The following is an 18,048-nucleotide window of genomic DNA, read 5'->3' as shown; positions in this document are numbered from 1 at the left end:
CTGATCTGTTATTCACAACCGCACAGTTCCTTGACCTCCCCATTTCCACACCAAACCCCATCCTTCTGGAGAACTCAAATCAGGGGAGCCTTCCAGGGACACAAAGTGAGAGGACTCCCCTTCTTGCTGCTAGGGTTGCAGCAGAAGACAATGTGGTCTCGCTAACCCAGGTGGAAATAATATGTTTTCCTAGTTTTAAAACAGCATCTGTACTACCCAGGGTAAATAATGGATTAGGTCAGCCCAATAGTAATAATTGATTTACTTTTCTGGAAAAAAAAAATTTTTTTTTGGAAGATAACTTGGAGCCAACACATGTTTTCTGTTCATATGAAAGTCAGATGTGGCAAAGACTCTCATTGCCTCCACCATATCCTTTTTCTCCCTTTTCCAACACAATAGAAAGTCTAACAGAGCACATGGTACTCAGAATAAAGACTGCATTCCCCGGGCAACTCGCTTGGGTCCCCTTCCACACTGTGGAAGCTTTGTTCTTTCGCTCTTCACAATAAATCTTGCTGCTGCCCAAAAAAAAAAAGAAAGAAAGAAAAAGGAAAGACTGCATTCCCCCTCCTCACTACCGAATGAGGGCATGGGACTGAGAGCTGGCCGGGGGGATGTGAGTGAAGGACAACCCAGCAGCTCCTCAAAGGCTTCCTTCAGAGATGGTGGGCACGTGTGTGCCCTTGCCCTCCTTTTTCCCCCTTTGTTCATCCTGGCTGGAAGCTGATGCTGCCTTCCTGAACCACAAGGATGGAGGCCACTCTTGTATGGCAGTACAGTGACCTGAGAGGAGCCGGGTCACAGCAGCTCTGGATCCCTTACCTTCAGACATCTGCACACATGAGAGAGAAATAAACTTTCATTGGGTTTAAGCTACTATTTTGTTTTTTATAAATCACACTCAAACTTAGTTGTAACTATTACTTCTTGACACCACATCTAGAGCAAAATCAAATTTTAAAAAAATAGTCCAGGCATGGTGGCTCATGCCTGTAATCCCAGCACTTTGGGAGGCCAAGACAGGTGGATCACTTGAGGTCAGGAATTCGAGACCAGCCTGGCCAACATGGTGAAACCCCGTCTGTACTAAAAGTACAGAAATTAGCTAGGCGTGGTGGCACACACCTGTAATCCCAGCTAGTGGGGTGGCTGAGACACGAGAATAGCTGGAACCCATGGGGCAGAGTTTGCAGTGAGCTGAGATCACGCCACTGCACTCCAGCCTAGGCAACAGAGCGAGATGCCATCTCAAAAAAAAAAAAATTAAAATTTACAAACCCAGGAGATATAATGCCTCTGTCCTAGGTTAGAACACCAACTAGAAGATTAAACTGCTAGTGAGAATACACAGATAATTGAACTCAGTGAGTAAATTTTGGACTTTAGATCCCTTTATCCTATTGATAATGCTCTTTACAAAGCAGTCTTCAGCCATGCTCTGAAATCAATTCTGCTATATAGACAATACAAGTCCAAGAGAGAACTGGAAGGAACAGAACTGACCTAATGGTGCCAAATTTCCCTTGGGAACCATACCTGTAAGGAAAAAAAAAAAAGTAGTACCTAAAACAATTTGTAAAACTATATAACTAACCAATAGCCAAGATATGGAAGCAAACTAAGTGTCTGTCATAGATAAATGGATAAAGAAAATGTGGTATGTATGTGTGTGTATACACACACACTAGATAGATAGATAGATGATTGATTGATAGATAGATAGATAATAGATAACCCTATTCAGACTTAAAGATGAATAAAGTCCTATCACACACTACAACATGGCTGAACCTTGAGGACATTGAGCTAAGTGAAATAAGCCAGTCACAAAAAGACAAATACTGAATGATCTAAGTTACATGTGGAATCTAAAAAGTCATAGGCTGAGCATGTTGGCTCATGCCTGTAATCCCAGCACTCCCTGCAATCGCAGAAGTCCAAGACTAGCCTGAGCAACACGGGAAGATCCCATCTCTACAAAAAATTAGTCGGACATTGTGGCATGTATGCCCTTAGTCCCAGCTACTCAGGAGGCTGAGGTGGGAGGATTGCGTGAGCCCAGGAGGTCAAGGCTGCAGTGAGCCACGATCACACCACTGCACTCCAGCCTAGGCAACAGAGTGAGACTCCATTTCAAAAAATAAATAAAAATTAAAAAGTCATACTCAGCCAGGCATGGTGGCTCATGCCTGTAATCCCAGCACTTTTGGGAGACCGAGGCAGGAGGGTCACTTGAGCTCAGGAGTTCGAGACCAGCCTGGGTAATAAAGTGAGACTCCCCTCTCTACAAAAAATCAAAAACCTAGACGGACGTAGTGGTGCACACCTGTAGTCCCAGCTACTCAGGGGGCTGAGGCAGGATAATTGCTTGAGCCCAGAAGGTCAAGGCTGCAGTGAGCCGTGTTTGTGCCACTGCACCAGCCTGGGTGATAGAACAAGACCCTGTCTCAAAAAAAAAAAAAGAAAGAAAAGTCATAGAATCACTGTAAGAATGGTTATTGCGGGCCAGGGGTAAGGAAATGGGGAAATGTTGGCCAACAAACTTGGCAGTTTTAAGGTGAATACGGTCTGGAGACCTAATGTACAGCAGGGTAACTAGTTAATGCTGTATTGTATACTCGAAATTCTCTAAGAAAGTAGATCTTAAATAATCTCTCCAAAAAAAGCTAAGGAAATAGATATGTTAATTAGCTTGATTGTGGTTGTCATTTCACAGTATATACATATATGAAAACATCACATTATACATCTTGAATATATATGTTTTTTATTTGTCACTTACACCTTAATAAAGATGAGGGGTGGGGGAAATACTGTGTAGCAAACAAAGTCTGCTTTCTTCAGTGTATTTGCTGATAGATGTCAAGAGGAAATCGTTTTCTGCCAAACTTAGGTCGCATTTTTTAAAGACTTGCAGGAAAACCATAGTTGCCTGATACAATGTATCTGACAGAGGCAATGTTTGACAAAAGGCATCCAGTTTTGCATGTGCATATTATGTTTAGGAAACATTGCCAAGTCATAATAAACAGTCCTATGTGGATTTGTGGGATTTTTGCTTCATGAATCTTGCCTTTGGGCACTCAGCACCCTGTTTGACTTCTGAATTTCCTACTGTATCGTTGGGGCTAGATTTCTCAGCCCCTCACAGTTGGGTTTTGGATGCAGCTTAGGTTCTGCCAGTAGGATCAGTTGGGTAAGAAGGTGGAGGCCATTTTCTAGGAGGTGTTATGGTTGGGGAGCAAGTCCCAGTGTAAGTCATCAGCCTCTAGTCACCAGCTTCCTGAGTGCTGGCATCCTTGATAGTGGCAGATGTGGTGGCAGTTAAGTGCAGCAGCCTGCCCCAACTTCTGCTCCTCCAACCCTTTCCACAGTTATATAAGCACCCAAATTCCTGTACTAAATATTTTCTGGGTGTTGGGTGCACCAAACTCTCAAATCACCACTAAAGAACTTACTCATGTAACCAAACACCACCTGTTCCCCAATAACCTATGGAAATAAAAAAAAATTAAATACTTTCTGCAGATATCTAGAGTGAATTGTGTTTTCTGCACTAAACCCTGGTACATATTCTAACCATTTTTATTTTCTAGGAATTGGAATAATTAATTTACCAGAAAAGCCTAATCTTGTTTGTTAATGGAGTTTTTTTAATGTTTATAACATTAAAACAGAGATCTTTGGGCCAGGCACGGTGGCTCACACCTGTAATTCCAACACTTTGGGAGACCAAGGCGGGTGGATCACTTGAGGCCAGGAGTTCAAGACCAGCCTGGCCAACATGGCGAAACCCCGTCTCTACTAAAAATACAAAAATTAGCCGGGCGTGGTGGCGGGCGCTATAATCCCAGCTACTAGGGAGGCTGAGGCAGGAGAATCGCTTGAACTAAGGAGGCGGAGGTTGCAGTGAGCTGAGATCACGCCACTGCGCTCCAGCCTGAGTGACAGAGTGAGACTCTGTCTCTAAATAAATAAATAAAGAGATCTTTGGCCGGGCGCGGTGGCTCACGCCTGTAATCCCAGCACTTTGGGAGGCCAAGGCGGGCAGATCACGAGGTCAGGAGATCGAGACCATCCTGGCTAATAAAGTGAAACCCCATCTCTACTAAAAATACAAAAAATTAGCTGGGCATGGTGGTGCGTGCCTGCAGTCCCAGCTACTCAGGAGGCTGAGGCAGGAGAATCACTTGAACCCGGGAGGTGGAGGTTGCAGTGAGCCGAGATCGTGCCACTGCACTGCAGCCTGGGGGACAGAGTAAGACTCCGTCTGAAAAAATAATAATAATAAAATAAATAAAGAGATGTTTGGTATGTCATAAAGATTTTTATTTTTTAAACATTAAGCTTAACTTAAATAGCTGGTCATTTTCACATATAAATCTAGTAGTTTTTTCTATAAGGCTTTTACTTGATCTTAGATTAATATTTTAATAATGGATATGTTTAACAGAGTAATTTACCCCCAAATAATTAACACCTTAATTAATTAAATTTAGTAATAAATAGACTGGTAAATAGTTAAGCATGTTAAACTATAATAACATAATTTCAGTGTATCTTAAGGCCTTCACACCTAACAGGGTAGACCCAGACATTTGACAAACCAAACTCACCTAAACACTTAAATGGTGCTTACCAACCTGAGAAACCTGAGCGTAGAGATATAATACATCTGACGCCTTTAAACATTCAAATACTATTTATAAGCCAAATACTTTTCTCATGAAAATCACAAGACAAATATTAAACATTTCAAATTAAAATCCCAACTACAGAATGTCAGATTATCTTAAATGGATTAGATGTGTTAAATAACATACAGAGGCAGATTATAATGATGATTTTAAAACTGAACACTAAGTGTACATAGAAGTATTACAATTATTTACAATTTTTATTTCTGTCCTAATTTCTGTTATAGTTTCTGAGTCTTTGTGGGATTATATCGTTACTTATAACTAAGGAAAGCAGATTTATAGTCTCAGGGTAGCTGAGTCCAGTTGGTGTGAAATCAAGGATGAAAAAGCTGCCGCAGATCTAGGTACAGTCAGAGCTTCTAGCCCTGGACAAGGGGTCTGGGTGCTGGTTCCATTTGATTCTCCCTAAGCCACAGAAGACCTCTCTCTCCCCTTTCCCACAAATTTTTCTTCATAGAGTGATAGGACTTTTGAAGCATGTGCTTTTTCTTGCTACCTAGTCCCCTTACCCAACCTCTTACACCACTGTATTATCTTAGATGGGGTGCATACCTTTCTTACACACACGCACACACACACACACCCCAAACTGAGGTTGCAACTAATCTCTTTCCTGCCTCATTAGAGTTCATTGAATCCTGCAAACACACACACACGTTGTAATTAATCTTTTTTACGCTTTATTTTATTACGTATCTCATCAGCCATTATCTTTTTAAAAACATTATATGGACATTGCTGACTTTTGGCCCTGATTCAAAAAAACCTAAAGAAAATTAAAATTTAGAGAACAATCCTCCTTTAAGAAGAAAAGAAAAACTTCCTTTTTTCCTCCTAGGGAAAAATCATTGCCCCTGAGAGCGTAATAGCTTTGAGCTCATGGGAAATGAAGGGCATTTCCAGGTCTAGAATTTACATCCTACTTCAAAGACATGTTTCCTAGATCAAGAATACTTAGCAGTTTGAGATGTTTTAAAATCATTTCTGAACAAGCCACTACTGGGGTTTTTGCTTTCAAGAGTTTTAGTTAAATTTTGGCAAGCAGATACTTAAAGCTGTTGATTTGTTCTGTCTTTAGCTACTGGAACTTATTACGGAAAGCTGAGATTTCTTGCAGGAATTTCTTCTGTATCAGGAAAACAGTAAGAGAAAGGTCATTTCTAGCAATGCTATGCTTAGCAAATTAATCTTTTTTGAAATACTATTCACAACATTAGTACAATACAAAAACCCAAGCAGTTAGCCAAAACTCCTCATTCTTAGAGTTGTGGGCTGAAGTTCAACATTTCTTGACTCACTGCCCATGATTCATTATTTTGAAAAGTTGTGTTTTGGGCTCAGACCCCACCTTTGATAATCACAGCATTAAAATTCAAAAATGATGGTCAAGGTTATTTATGTGGTGACCATATGCAAAATTTATTTCTGTATTCCACAATTCTTTATTGATTCTGGCTTATCCTTTTGACTTTGCAGTTTTAAGAAAACATTCCCTTATACAGTCTTTCAACTATAGAGTTTATCAAGCAACTATAATGTGTTTGAATTTTTTAATGTTACTGTGTCCTGACAAAAAACAACCATTCTTTGGGGATAAATGTGTTAGCAGCAGAAAGTATGCATCTGGGTCTGCAGCAACCTCAATTCTTGCCTCCACAGAAGAAAGAATTCGACCGACGGACATAAGGCAGAAGGAGAGACCAAGGCAAGTTTTACAGCAGGCGTGAAAGTTTATTGAAAAGCTTTGGAACAGGAATGAAAGACAGGAAAGTATACTTGGAAGAGGGCCACCTGGGCGACTTGAAGGACAAGTGTCCCGTTTGACATTTTGACTTGGGATTTTATAAGTTAGCTTGCTTCTGGGGTTTTGTGTTACTTCTCCCCACACACCCAACTCCTGAGATGGGGAAGCTGCTGCTCACCAGTTTCAGGTGTTTCCTATCTATTAGGAGCCTGCTGTTCCCTAGTGCCAGCTGTGACCAGTTATTAGAGAGACAGTTAACAACCACTTGACCATCATCTGATGGTCACCTGACATTCCTGATGTGTATGTGGTGTGTGGGGGGCAGGGGGAGCCCTCTCCTGCCCTGCTCCTGCCCGACTAGCTACCTACTGTAACAAAAGGAGTCTAAGGAAGTGATATAATGAAGACATTCTATCCCCCTAAAAAACATTCCTGCTTGAATGAGATGTTTATATCTGGTTTGTCATAGTACCTGAAATTCAACAATTGGAGATTGAGGCTTTGAGTAAATAACATCTCTTTTAAAATACAAATTTTCTTAGACAACTTACACCAAAAGTTTACCCAGCATCAGAAGACTATGTAGAGCAAATCAATGGCATTAACATAATAAATCATCATACAACAGAATAATATACAGTAAAGAAAAAGAAGGAGCTGTGGCTACAAGCATCAATGAAAATAAGTCTAAATTGGAGTATGTTAAGCAAAAAAAGACAAAAATATAAAGTGAGTGTGATTCCATTTAAAGTTCAAAAACAAAACTACAAAAATTAATAGTACATACTTTTGTAGGTTTGGAAAGCTATAAAGGTGCAGAAGGAGCAGGATTGAAAATTTTTTATAAAAAACCTCTAAAGAGTTGCCAGTAAAAATTAACACCAAACCTAGGTCAGCAGTTACCTCTACTGGGGAGATTTGTGGGGGGCTTCCAAGGTATTGAAAATGGTCTGCTGCTTACACATAAATTACAAGTTCTCTAGTGTGATATATGTTATGTTTTAAAAGCATAAAACTAATTTTATCTTCTAAATAAATTACATATATTTAAGTTATACAACCTGATGTTATGGGATACATACAAATAGTAAAATGGTTACTACAGTGAAGCAAATTAACATATCCATCATCTCACATAGTTTCCCAATTTTTTGTTTTGTGGCAAGAGCAGCTAGAATCTACTTGTTTAGCAGGAATCCCAAATACAGCACAGTTTAGTTCCCTATAGACTTCATGTGGGACAGTAGCTCTCTAGACTTATTCATCCCATACATCTGCTACTTTGTAAGCTCTGACTGCATTTCCATAGTGTGCCATTAAAGATCCTCTAGAACAGAGGTCTGAAACACACAGCCCAGCTCCTGGGAGTGTTGGCAGCACCAGCTCTCAGCTGAGTCTCTCTCAGGGACTACCTTTTGGCTGAAAAGAGCCACAGCCCAAGGTGGGCGTGGTGGCTCATGCCTACAATCCCAGCACTTTGGGAGGCCAAGGTGGACGGATCACCTGAGGTGGGGAGTTCGAGACCAGCCTGACCAACATAGAGAAACCCCATCTCTACGAAAAATACAAAATTAGCCAGGTGTGGTGGCAGGCGCCTGTAATCCCAGCTACTTGGGAGTCTGAGGCAGGAGAATTGCTTGAACCTGGGAGGCGGAGGTTGGATCAAGCTGAGATTGCACCACTGCACTCCAGCCTGGGCGAGAGAGCGAGACTCCATCTCAAAAAAACAAAACAAAACAAAGCCGCAGCCCAAGGGCATGTCCTCTTCCTGGAGAAAGCCCATATACACAGACTGGTGAAAATATAAAGGTTCAGCCCTTGACCCCCAGTAGGATACACATGTGATGACATAAACTTGCAAAATATTAGAATACTTAGGGTTGACTAAATGCCAGCTAGATATCACTGAAAACAGATGTCATTCTACACAGCACGTTCTCAAAAGTGCATACTGTCAAGAACCTCTTGCTGAGATGTTTTTCATCAGCGGTCTCTTACAGTAACAAATATGTTTTAACATTTTAGAATACAAAAATCCATGATGGAATTTTCAGTTTTATATGTATATGAGGATTTGAGGCATTCTTTCCTAAATGGAATTAAAACAAAATAAAATATACAAGCCTAAAGTTTAGTTTTTAAAGAAATATTACCAATGCAAATGATACAACCTCAGTTTGTTATGACCAGGCTGCTGGTTAAGGGCTGATATTTAGAGGCAAGGAATTAAAAAGTCAAAGGGAAAGGACAACTGGAGTGTGATACCAGCATTTATCTTTCAGTCTTGTTTGAAAATCAGGTGGGACCTTCCCAGCTGTGTTAAATAGAAGATACCACCCTTTGGTCAGTTCTGCTTAACAAGATGAGCTCTGAGGGGGACTCTTAATTTATGCAACAAACGGGGAATTTTGAGAGAGGTGGAAAGCCTCTATTTTGGCTGAGAGTGGAAAAGAGTACAGAAATTATCTGAAGGCTGCTGGGTTTCGAAATGTAAACCCTCACTATCGTTTTGTCTCCTTCCTTCAATCTTTATGAATAACAATGTTCATTCAGACGTGAACTCTGGAAACCTACCCACCCAGAATTTCTAGAAACTCCATTGACTCGGGAATTTATCTGGCGAAATTTTCCCTCTCTAAAAATGGCAGTAAGGGGCCAGGCATGGTGGCTAACACCTGTAATCCTAGCACTTTAGGAGGCCGAGGCAGGTGGATCACCTGGAGGCCAGGAGTTCAAGACTAGCCTGGCCAACATGGTGAAACACCGTCTCTACAAAAAATACAAAAATTAGCCACCACCCTCAGTCCGCTAACTAGAGCCACATGAACTTGTCACATTTCTCCAGAACTTTTATGCAAGTCCTTTCATAATTCTATGTCTTTGCTCATGCAGAGCTGTTCACCTGAAATATATTTTCCCCCATTTCTTCACCTGGCAAACTTCCTTTCATCCCTCAAGATGTAAATCAAAAGAAATTTTTGTGATGTCTCGGATACCCCAAGCAGAGTTGGTTGTTCAAATTGTTTTAAAGTTCTAAGGTCCAGCTACTTAACCGTTCACTGTCTGTTTCCCCTGCTGAGCAATAAGTGGATTGAAGTTAGTATTGGTGTCTTGGTCATCTGTGGACACTCAGCTTCTCAAGCAAGGCTGGGCACAGAATAGGCACTCCATAAATGTTAATCATTGAATAGGCGAATCAATGAAGACACAATCCTTGTATTTTGAAATAAATATTTCCTCTGCAATCTATACTGTGCACGGCCTTCTACTTTCCTCCTTCTCTTCCTGCCTAGTTATCACTTAAAGATGTATGGAATGTTTAATACCTCAAGCCAGGCCTTGGGAAAACAATGAGTCCTTTACTCTTTCCTGGTAGCATCCCTTGAGTCGGCTGCTCCATTCAACTTAACCTCCTTTACCAATATGATTTCTCATTGTTTCCACACTTTAAAGTGTGACTAGTACTTTTGCCCATCGTAAAGCAGGGGTAGTGTTATTTTTAATGTCTTAATTTACTAGAAGTATCCTTTGGCCCTTGTTCCCCACGTCTTACCCACATTTTTTTTTTCGATAAGGACTCTCAGGTTGGCCTTTCTCTGCCTTTCTCTGACTCCCAGGACCTTTCTCCTGTGCCAGGGTGCCATGGCACATTGTAAAATTCTACACAGAGGAAGAGCACAAGCATTAAACCAAGTCTCTTAAACATATGTGTATATCTCTTGCACTAAAACCACCTAAATCCTTTAGGGAATATGGGCAAAGCAATGGGGTAAATGCAGTCACTCATTATAAACAAACACAGCTAAATCAATGCAAGAAAAGACCTCATAGATACACGTATATGAGACAGTGCAGAAGCTAAAAACTTAGAATTTGAAGCCAACCAAATCTAGGTTCAGATCCCAGCCCTCCCATGTAACATCTGAGTTGCCTCAACTTCATCATCTGTAAATTGGTACTAAAATTATACCTATGTCATAAATACATTATACCTGCCAGTTTCTAGCATCATGGTCTCAGGTCATCACCTATTAAATGAAACATTTTGGCCAGAAGATCAGCACATTTCTTCCAGCTCTAAATTATCCTGTGATTTTGTTACTGTATATGTTCCTCTGTTTCTTCTCTTCATTCCCTCCTTAGATTTATAAAAGAAAGGGAATTAACTATCATTGTTTATGACCAGTCTTTTAGTTTTGCCACTGATTCACAGTTCCCTTTCCCTAAACTCTAAATTCCCATGGGCACGTACACGAGTACTAGTGATAGCCCAACAACATCTCTCAAAGCTGCTAAACTGCTTTCTTTTGGATAGGGGTATTCCTAGATCAAAGATTAGGTTGAATATTGTTTTCAGTATTTCAGAAACACTGGTTTCTAGTCTTCCAGGTGATAAAGCATCAGACAAGAGAATTGTGACTATCTTCAGCAATGGTTTAAACCCCACAAGAAAACTGTGATTACTTCTAGGTTATTCTCCTTAAAAATGTGGGTATTTTTGAAGAGAACTCAAAATAGAATCAAACAGTTGGGAAAACCCATCTAAAAACTTTTATTTTTTTTTTTTTAGACAGAGTCTCGCTCTGTCACCAGGCAGGAGTGCAGTGGCGTGATCTTGGCTCACTGCAACCTCCACCTCCTGGGTTCAAGCGATTCCCCTGCCTCAGCCTCCCAAGTAGCTGGGACTACAGGTGTCCACCACCACGCCCAGCTAGTTTTTTTGTATTTTAGTAGAGACGGGGTTTCACCGTGTTAGCCAAGATGGTCTCGATCTCCTGACCTCGTGATCTACCCACCTCGGCCTCCCAAAGTGCTGGGATTACAGGTGTGAGCCACCATGCCCGGCCCATCTAAAAACTTTTTAAAAACTAGGATCGGCCAGGTGCAGTGGCTCATGCCTGTAATCTCAGCACTTTGGGAGGCCAAGGCAGGCAGATCACCTGAGGTCAGGAGTTCAAGACCAGCCTGGCCAACATGATGAAACCCCATCTCTACTAAAAATACAAAACTTAGGCTGGGTGCGGTGGCTCACGCCTGTAATCCCAGCACTTTGGGAGGCCAAGGCGGGCGGATCATGAGGTCAGAAGATCGAGGCCATCCTGGCTAACACGGTGAAACTCCGTCTCTATGAAAAATATAAAAAATTAGCCGGGCGTGGTGGCGGGTGCGTGTAGTCACAGCTACTCGGGAGGCTGAGGCAGGAGAATGGTGTGAACCTGGGAGGCGGAGCTTGCAGTGAGCCAAGATCGTGCCACTGCACTCCAGCCTGGGTGACAGAGCGAGACTCAGTCTCAAAAATTAAAAAAAATGAAAAAATAAAAATACGAAACTTAGCTAGGCATGGTGGCGCATGCCTGTAGTCCCAGCTATTCAGGAGGCTGAGGCAGGAGAATCACTTGAGCCCAGGAGGCAGAGGTTACAGTGAGCCAAGATTGTGGCACTGCACTGCAGCCTGAGTGACAAGAACAAAACTCCATCTCAAAAAAAAAAAAAAAAAGCTAGAATTATTAAGCTTAGTAAGAAGAAGTGGCAGAAGGCAAACTTAATAATGGTCTTCAGACCTAAAAGCTTTTTGCAAAAGAATAATAACAAACAGTTTTGAATCTCTCTTGGGTGCAGAACAAGAAAATTCCTTTTGTGATTGCTTGACACTGCTTGCAAATGCACTCACTACTTTTCCTTATGGCCGTTTCCACAAAATATCCTCATTTCCTTGTATCTAGTTTTCTTGGTCTTTAACTAACATTTATTGCCTTTTAAATGTAGGTATATTCGTTATGAAAGAGCAGTTTCTAATCTGCTTCCTCTTACACTGCTATAAAATCCAAAGCGAATGATAAGAAATATGGGTGTGTGAGCTTTTTGCTGGGCTGTCTGCCGAAAGTCTGCATTTTCACAGCCAGCAGGGCCCTAAGTTAAAGGTCGTTGTTAGGAGGAGAGCTGAGACCAGAACATCCCATAGGAGTCCTTCCCTCTTGTCTACTGAGAGGATTGACTGGGCCATTCCCTAACCAGGAGTTTAAAAACGTGTCCACCTTTTTACTCAGCATCATGAAGAGGAAGAGTCCACACACCTCTCATATGGGAAGAGAAGAAAAAGGAATGCTTCCCCTTCATCTCTTTGAGGACATACAAGTCATCAAGACCACTACAGTCCTCACTGATTAGAGAAGAAAAGCAGCTCAGGTTAAAAGTGGTTTCAGGACAGAGCTACAATAAATAATAAAGGACAGAAGGTGTGTCCGCCTTTGCCAAAAATGTTACACATGATATGTTTCTTGTTGACAGCCTCATAAAGTAGACATTATTGTCATCATATTTTAGATGATGAAGCTGAAACTCAAAATGGCTAAATAACTTGCTGAAAGTCACAGCCAGAGAAAAATGGAGCTGAGATTCAAGATCACCTCTATTTTACTCCAAAGCCCATTTCTTACCCGCACTATACAGCTCCCCCGATTCAGAGGGACTCTCATCCGAACCCTCTCAGGCCAGTCAAGCTGCAGAGCAGGACAAGGGCTTCAAGGGTTGGCATGGACCAGCTCTCAGAGAAAGGAGACATGTGGTTAGCAGGACTTTCACCAGCAGCGCAGAGATCAAAATGCAAGTGTTGAGCTAACAGTCACCTGAGAATCCCCACAAAATTCAAACCCTGGGTAAGAAGGTCAAAGTGAAGAATTAAAGCCCCTAGCAACAAGATCTTGGCTAAGAGGTCAGCATGCAACGACCTCAACTGAGGGGAAGCATTATCAGGCAGTACAAGATCAAGGCTGGATTCAAGGCTTATACCAACTATGAAAAACAAGAGTAGAACTGAGTGTAGACCTGTTTGGATTGGGATTAGCATCACAGAATCTTTAAAAGAAAAGGGTATCCACAGAGCAGGAACACAGAACTGGCTCATTATCTCAGGACAGGGCATTGTTGTCCTCTGTTCTTGCTTTAAGTTGCATTTGATATGTGGATGAATACCATCGAGGCAGCGTGTTTAGCTCTCAAAGCAAAGCAAGGCTCTGTGTCGTGTTACAGGGCAAAGAGTTGGCCTGCTGCAGAGACTTCAAAGTTCTAACAGAACTGATATAACCATAAAGAGAGATGATATTAATAATGATCTCTGCCCTTCCCCAAATGGTTCCCCCATTGGTGTGCTGGCTTTTGGGTATATTTATGCAAATCCCAATTCCAGGCCCCAGTGGTCTTGACCAACAGTTGCATCCACTGTCCATTCCTTAGCCTTTATATGTTTTCAATTCAAACTCTAGGCTTCTTGATGTCATCTTTTCCTGCCAATAGGATTTCATTTATACCCTAAATGCTTTCCACCAGAGATAATGCTGAATAATATCCTCTACTCAGTAGACTACCTTCAATTGAGGCATTAACAATAGTATCTTTTTATCCAAAGAAGCACACCTGGAAGAAAAAAGCAAGTTTTTTTTGTTGTTGATGGTGTTTTGTTTTGTTTTGTTTTCTGCAAACTTTACCTGCTGGGTTCAAGCGATTCTCGTGCCTCAGGCTTCCAAGGCTGAAAAAGCAAGTTTTGTTCCTCATAAGAACAAACAGTTCTGTGAAAATAATTTATTCTTGCTTTTTGGTTTATAAAATATAACATTACTACTCTTGATTCCTTTATCTCCCTCTCTTTCTTTCTTCCTTTCTTTCCTTTCCTTCCTGTTTCTTTCCTTTCTCTTTCCCTTTCCCCTCCCTCCCTCCCTCCTTCCGTCCCTTCCTCTCTCCTTCCTTCCTTCCTTCTTCCTTCCTTCCTTCCTTTTTCTAACAGGGTCTTGCTCTATCACCCAGGCTTGAGTGCAGTGACACAACCATAGTTCACTGCAGCCTCAACCTCCTGGGCTCAAGCAGTCCTCCCACCCCAGACTCAAGAGTAGCTGAGAACACAGGCATAAGCCACCAATGCCAGCACGCCCCCCTAATAGAAATGGAGTCTTGCCATGTTCTCTAGGCTGGTCTCAAACTCCTTGGCTCAAGTGATCAGCCCGCCTCGACCTCCCAAAATGAAAAAAAGTAAAAAACAAAAAAATTACCCTTCTTTCTTTAGGCTTTTTTTTTTTTTTTTTTTTTTTTTTTTTTCAGATGGAGCCTCACTCTGTCACCCAGGCTGGAGTGCAGTGGTGTGATCTTGGCTCACTGCAACCTCAGCCTCCTAGGTTCAGGCAATTCTCGTGCCTCAGCGTCCTGAGTAGCTGGGATCACAGGCCGTACCACCACACCCAGCTAATTTTTTGTATTTTTAGTAGAGACAGGGTTTCACCATATTGGCCAGGCTGGTCTTGAACTCTGGACCTCAAATGATCCTCCCGCCTTGGCCTCCCAAAGGGTTGAGATTACAGATATGAGCCACCATGCCCACCCACCCTTGTTTCTTAAAGCAAACGTTTTTTGAAGTCAGAGCCACTGCAGATGTATGATGCGGAGTTTATAGGCTTAGGGTGGAGTTTAGAAGCAGGGCTTACCTCTGGGTTATCTCTCTGTGCCCAACTTAGGACAAGGAAGTGATAAACCCAGAAACTCATTTATCTAACATGAGTTGCTTTTGAATTTATTATTGAGAATAATCGTCATGTTTTGTGTTAAAGATTACATACTAACCATATCTTTCACCTTTCTTCCTATATTTGACTGTTACAACAGTTAATTGGGTCAATATATGAATATGTGAGCTCTCTCTACCAATAAAGCATTATGCCTGGCATTGTAAAGGACACATTGCTCAGTCTCATTTATTGCTGGCAATAATTGCTATTACCTATTAAAAGTAAAAAAATCACATATGCTTTGATCAGCAGTGGAATTTTTAGGAATTAATACTACAGGTGCATTAGTACCTATGCACACTGGCGTACGCAGGAGTATTCAAACAGCATTGTTTGTAACAGCTAAAGACTAGTGCTATTGATTATCAATAGTATTGGTTAAATAAATAAAGTTACAGCTTTTTATGAGATTATTAAAAAGAATGCAGGTGTTCTTCCTGTACTGGTTGGAAACTTTGCCAAGATATGTTAAATGGAAAAGAGAAAGATGCAGAAGTGTCTATGTGGGATGTTATTATTAGTCTTATGTATGATATATTTCAAAAGATGCAAAAGAAGCTGGTAACAGTGGTTGTCTTCTGAAAGAAAACTGGACCTGTCTTTAAATGCCTCATATTTGTCTCATAGGCTTTTGATATTAATCCCAGGATCTGATGGTCAAATGGCTAAAATCACAGCTCTTACTATGTATTAAAGAGTCATTTTTATAATGAAAAGTAGTACAGGTTTTATTTCTATTCACATCTCTTTTATGTATTTTTGCATGTGGGAAGTCCCAATTTACTTTCCAGTTTTCCACCCAATTAGCAACTTAATTTGAATAGCTTCCAGGTCCTTTCCATCTTGGGCAGAATCCAAGTGGACTCTGAAAGAAATCACTCCCTCCTTGTTTTTTTGTGTATCATTTCAATATTGCCAAGAACACTATCTTGTAAAGTCAGCATGAATGCATCTGTTCTTACATGTTAAACTATCATGGGAAATAGATTGCCCGGGAGAAAACAAGACCACAAATAAGGGAGAGCAAAAGGAAAGAAATATGATGGAAATCCAAAGAGAACAAGAAAAATCAAGGATTAAGTTAGCTGGGATCTGAAGTAAGAAGGATTATGTGTGGACATTAAGAAACTAAAAAAACCATTAAAGTCTAGTTTTAAAATATTACCAAGAGGGGAGCCAAGGGAGATTTAGCACTGCAGGGGGTTGGCTCATTTGCACTTTGTTCTGCATTGCAAGGCATTCATCTTAAAATGGGGTGTGAGCATCCCTTAGAGGGTGCAAATTTATCCACTGGGATACAAGATGGAAAAATTAGAATTTTTAATTTTATATTTTCGGTTCACTTTGTGGATGTTTTATTATGTACATAATACATATTCTTTCAGTAGGATATGTTTAATACATGTGTACATTGAAATATTGGCTTTTCAAACTTTCTTTATTGATAAGGGTACATGATGAAAAAAGGTTTGGAGGTCACTGGACCAGTGCTCCAGGCTGAGAATTAGAGAAAACAGATGGGAAGACATTTGTTTCTTTGGTGTCCAGGATTAGTGGAATGAAGGAAGAGGACTGTAAGAGAATAAGACACTAGACATTTTAGGAAGCTCGGGACAGACTCTAAGCCAGATAAAATTCTCTGGTTTTATTGTAATTTAGTAAACTATACATATTTATGTCCTAAAAAAAAATCCATGTAACAGTAGCTTTTTTTCTACACTAAGCAGCTGAATACCACCCTGGTGGCGATTTGGGATTTAGGCACTGCAGAGAAAAGATCAAAGGGACAGGAGCTATAATTGAAATTTTAGCCCTAAAGGAAAAGTATCTTTAATCTCTAAAAGACCACAAATGAAGTTTGGCAGAAAACAGGGATAAAGTTCTAAGGGTTCTTTGGCATTTTATCATTCATTCGACCAAAAATATTTATGGAGACATATTTACTTCCACCAGGATGGAGTAACTGGTTTACTAGACTTGTCTTTCCACTATAAACAACTGAAAAAATAAGATACATGAAACAACTGTTTTTAGACATTCAATAACAGGCTTTTCAGGACTTTGATCACAGCGAGAAGAGAATAAAATAAGGTTAGCTCATCATCTGAGCTTTCCAGTCTGCAGCATCTGTAAAGGGAAGCCAATCAGTGAACAACAGTTGTAATAACATAAAAAACAGACAGCAGCAATCAGGAATGTTGAGGAAATGTTCTCATTGGTCGAGGCACCTGTAAAATGGTCATATATAAAATGTGTGAATCGTTTGCTTTAACAAATAACAGCATAAATAACAAAACATACATAAATACATATACATACCTGAATATATTGCAATAACAATTTCATTCTTACTCATGTGAATTCTAACATGCTGCTATGGATTGAACATCACCTCCAAAACTCATGGTGCAATTTAACCCCCAATGTTGCAGTATTGAGAGGTGTGGCCTTTAACAGGTGTGGAGGTGTGGCCTTTAACAGGTGATTGGATCATGAGGGCTCAGCCTTCATGAATGGATTAGTCATAGATTAATGGGTTATCCTGGGAAGGGAACTGGTGGCTTTATAAGCAGAGGAAGAACGATCTGAGCTAGCACGTTAGCATACTCAGTACCCTGGCCACGCAATGCCCTGTGCTGCCTCGGGACTCTGTAGAGAGTCCCCACCAACAAGAAGACCTTCACTATATGTGGCCTCTTGCCCTTACACATCTCAGTCTCTGCAAGTGTAAGAAATAAACTTCTTTTCTTTATAAATTACTGAGTTTCAGGTGTTCTGTTATAACCAACAGAAAGGGACTAAGGCACATGCTTTCTGGAATGGAAGATAAAACCATGGGTTATACCCTTAGTTCATGTGTTTGTCATACATGTAAGTGTCATTATATGTGTTGTGAAAAAGGTGTTCTAAAATTTAGATGATTTTTAATTACAATAAGTTATCTTATGAATACATAGTAGCGGTGATGTCTTTAATTAAGTCGTAGGGATCTGCCCTCTGCTTTAACTCTAAAGAGCGTGTTAAAGTCAGACACACATTAGTAATAACA

The 18,048-nt window shown here is 40.7% G+C and overlaps 1 annotated feature.

Annotated features, from left to right (window-relative positions):
• Window positions 12,177-12,377: a silencer, noted in NCBI's record as "peak1668 fragment used in MPRA reporter construct". NCBI's record gives its function as "represses an SCP1 promoter by STARR-seq MPRAs in K562 erythroleukemia cells {active_cell/tissue: K562}" and the evidence as "EXISTENCE:reporter gene assay evidence [ECO:0000049][PMID:32103011]".

This window comes from Homo sapiens, chromosome 12, assembly GCF_000001405.40.
Source record: "Homo sapiens chromosome 12, GRCh38.p14 Primary Assembly".
NCBI lineage: Eukaryota > Metazoa > Chordata > Mammalia > Primates > Hominidae > Homo > Homo sapiens.
The sequence above is the reverse complement of the archived record's forward strand: the minus strand, read 5'-3'. Positions and strand labels throughout refer to the sequence as shown.